The sequence below is a fragment of the Homo sapiens genome, chromosome Y (assembly GCF_000001405.40).
Source record: "Homo sapiens chromosome Y, GRCh38.p14 Primary Assembly".
Lineage (NCBI taxonomy): Eukaryota > Metazoa > Chordata > Mammalia > Primates > Hominidae > Homo > Homo sapiens.
Genome location: NC_000024.10, coordinates 20,345,181 through 20,349,133, shown reverse-complemented (window position 1 = coordinate 20,349,133; position 3,953 = coordinate 20,345,181).

Genomic DNA, 3,953 nt, shown 5'->3' with positions numbered 1-3,953 from the left:
GCAAGACCACGAACCTGCAAGAAGGAAGAAACTCTGGACACATCTGAAGGAACAAACTCTGGACATAACAACTTTAAGTGCTGTAACACTCAACACTAAGGTCTGCAGCTTCATTCTTGAAGTGAGTAACACCATGAACCTGCCAGAAGGAAGAAACTCTGGACACATCCGAAGGAACAAACTCTGGATATAACACCTTTAAGTGCTTTAACACTCAACAGTAAGGTCTGCAGCTTCATTCTTGAAGTGAGCAAGACCATGAATCTGCCAGAAGGAAGAAACGCTGGACATATCTGAAGGAAAAAACTCTGGACATAACACCTTTAAGTGCTGTAACACTCACCACTAAGGTCGGCAGCTTCATTCTTGAAGTGAGCAAGACCATGAACATGCCAGAAGACAGAAACCCTGGACACATCTGAAGGAACAAACTCTGGACATAACACCTTTAAGTGCTGTAACACTCACCAGTAAGGTCTGCAGCTTCATTAGTGAAGTGAGCAAGACCATGAACCTGCCAGAAGGAAGACACTCTGGACACATCCGAAGGAACAAACTGTGGACATAACAACTTTAAGTGCTGTAACACTCACCAGTAAGGTCTGCAGCTTCATTCTTGAAGTGAGGAAGACCACGAAACTGCCAGAAGGAAGAAACTCTGGACACATCTGAAGAAACAAACTCTGGACATAACACCTTTAAGTGCTGTAACACTCACCAGTAAGGTCGGCAGCTTCATTAAAGAAGTGAGGAAGACCACGAACCTGCCAGAAGGAAGAAACTCTGGAAATACCTGAAGGAACAAACTCTGGACATAACAGCTTTAAGTGCTGTAACACTCACCAGTAAGGTCTGCAGCTTCATTCTTGAAGTGAGCAACACCATGAACCTGCCAGAAGGAAGAAACTCTGGACACATCTGAAGGAACAAACTCTGGACATAACACCTTTAAGTGCTATAACACTCAGAACTAAGGTCTGCAGCATAATTCTTGAAATGAGCAAGACAATGAACCTGCTAGAAGGAAGAAACTCTGGACACATCTGAAGGAACAAACTCTGGACAAAACACCTTTAAGTACTGTAACACTCCCCAGTAAGGCCTGCAGCTTCATTAGTGAAGTGAGCAAGACCATGAACCTGCCAGAAGGAAGACACTCTGGACACATCTGAGGGAACAAACTCTGGACATAACACATTTAAGTGCTGTAACACTCACCAGTAATGTCTGCAGCTTCATTCTTGAAGTGAGGAAGACCACGAAACTGCCAGAAAGAAGAAACTCTGGACACATCTGAAGAAACAAACTCTGGACATAACACCTTTAAGTGCTGTAACACTCACCATTAAGGTCTGCAGCTTCATTAAAGAAGTGAGCAAGACCACGAACCTGCCAGAAGGAAGAAACTCTGGAAACATCCGAAGGAACAAACTCTGGACATAACAGCTTTAAGTGCTGTAACACTCACCAGTAAGGTCTGCAGCTTCATTCTTGAAGTGAGCAAGACCATGAACCTGCCAGAAGGAAGAAACACTGGACACATCTGAAGGAACAAACTCTGGACATAACACCTTTAAGTGCTGTAACACTCACCGGTAAGGTCTGCAGCTTCATTAAGGAAGTGAGCAAGACCACGAACCTGAAAGAAGGAAGAAACTCTAGACACATCTGAAGGAACAAACTCTGGACACAACACCTGTAAGTGCTGTAACACTCAACACTAAGGTCTGCAGCTTCATTCTTGAAGTGAGCAACACCATGAACCTGCCAGAAGGAAGAAACTCTGGACACATCTGAAGGAACAAACTCTGGATATAACACCTTTAAGTGCTTTAACACTCAACAGTAAGGTCTGCAGCTTCATTCTTGAAGTGAGCAAGACCATGAACCTGCCACAAGGAAGAAACGCTGGACATATCTGAAGGAAAAAACTCTGGACATAACACCTTTAAGTGCTGTAACACTCACCACTAAGGTCGGCAGCTTCATTCTTGAAGTGAGCAAGACCATGAACCTGCCAGAAGACAGAAACCCTGGACACATCTGAAGGAACAAACTCTGGACATAACACCTTTAAGTGCTGTAACACTCACCAGTAAGGTCTGCAGCTTCATTAGTGAAGTGAGGAAGACCATGAACCTGCCAGAAGGAAGACACTCTGGACACATCCGAAGGAACAAACTCTGGACATAACAACTATAAGTGCTGTAACACTCACCAGTAAGGTCTGCAGCTTCATTCTTGAAGTGAGGAAGACCACGAAACTGCCAGAAGGAAGAAACTCTGGACACATCTGAAGAAACAAACTCTGGACATAACACCTTTAAGTGCTGTAACACTCACCAGTAAGGTCTGCAGCTTCATTAAAGAAGTGAGCAAGACCACGAACCTGCCAGAAGGAAGAAACTCTGGAAACACGAGAAGGAACAAACTCTGGACATAACAACTTTAAGTGGTGTAACACTCACCACTAAGGTCTGCAGCTTAATTCTTGAAATGAGCAAGACAATGAACCTGCTAGAAGGAAGAAACTCTGGACACATCTCAAGGAACAAACTCTGGACAAAACACCTTTAAGTACTGTAACACTCCCCAGTAAGGTCTGCAGCTTCATTAGTGAAGTGAGCAAGACCATGAACCTGCCAGAAGGAAGACACTCTGGACACATCTGACGGAACAAACTCTGGACATAACACCTTTAAGTGCTGTAACACTCACCAGTAATGTCTGCAGCTTCATTCTTGAAGTGAGGAAGACCAAGAAACTGCCAGAAAGAAGAAACTCTGGAAACATCTGAAGAAACAAACTCTGGACATAACACCTTTAAGTGCTGTAACACTCACCAGTAAGGTCTGCAGCTTCATTAAAGAAGTGAGCAAGATCACGAACCTGCCAGAAGGAAGAAACTCTGGAAACATCTGAAGGAACAAACTCTGGACATAACAGCTTTAAGTGCTGTAACACTCACCAGTAAGGTCTGCAGCTTCATTCTTGAAGTGAGCAAGACAATCAACCTGCCAGAAGGAAGAAACACTGGACACATCTGAAGGAACAAATTCTGGACATAACAACTTTAACTGCTGTAACACTCACCACAAAAGTCTGCAGCTTCATTCTTGAAGTGAGCAAGACCATGAACCTGCCAGAAGGAAGAAACACTGGACACATATGAAGGAACAAACTCTGGACATAACACCTTTAAGTGCTGTAACACTCACCGGTAAGGTCTGCAGCTTCATTAAGGAAGTGAGCAAGACCACGAACCTGCAAGAAGGAAGAAACTCTGGACACATCTGAAGGAACAAACTCTGGACATAACACCTTTAAGTGATGAAACACTCAACACTAAGGTCTGCAGTTTCATTCTTGAAATGAGAAAGACAATGAACCTGCCAGAAGGAAGAAACTCCGGACATATCTGAAGGAACAAAGTCTGGACATAACACCTTTAAATGCGGTAACACTCACCACTAAGGTCGGCAGCTTCATTCTTGAAGTGAGCAAGACCATGAAACTGCCAGAAGACAGAAACCCTGGACACATCTGAAGGAACAAACTCTGGACATAACACCTTTAAGTGCTGCAACACTCACCGGTAAGGTCTGCAGCTTCATTAAGGAAGTGAGCAAGACCAAGAACCTGCAAGAAGGAATAAACTCTGGACACATCTGAAGGAACAAACTCTGGACCTAACACCTTTAAGTGCTGTAACACTCAACACTAAGGTCTGCAGCTTCATTCTTGAAGTGAGCAACACCATGAAACTGCAAGAAGGAAGAAACTCTGGACACATCTGAAGGATCAAACTCTGGATATAACACCTTTAAGTGCTTTAACACTGAATAGTAAGGTCTGCAGCTTCATTCTTGAAGTGAGCAAGACCATGAACCTGCCAGAAGGAAGAAACGCTGGACACATCTGAAGGAAAAACTCTGGACATAACACTTTTAAGT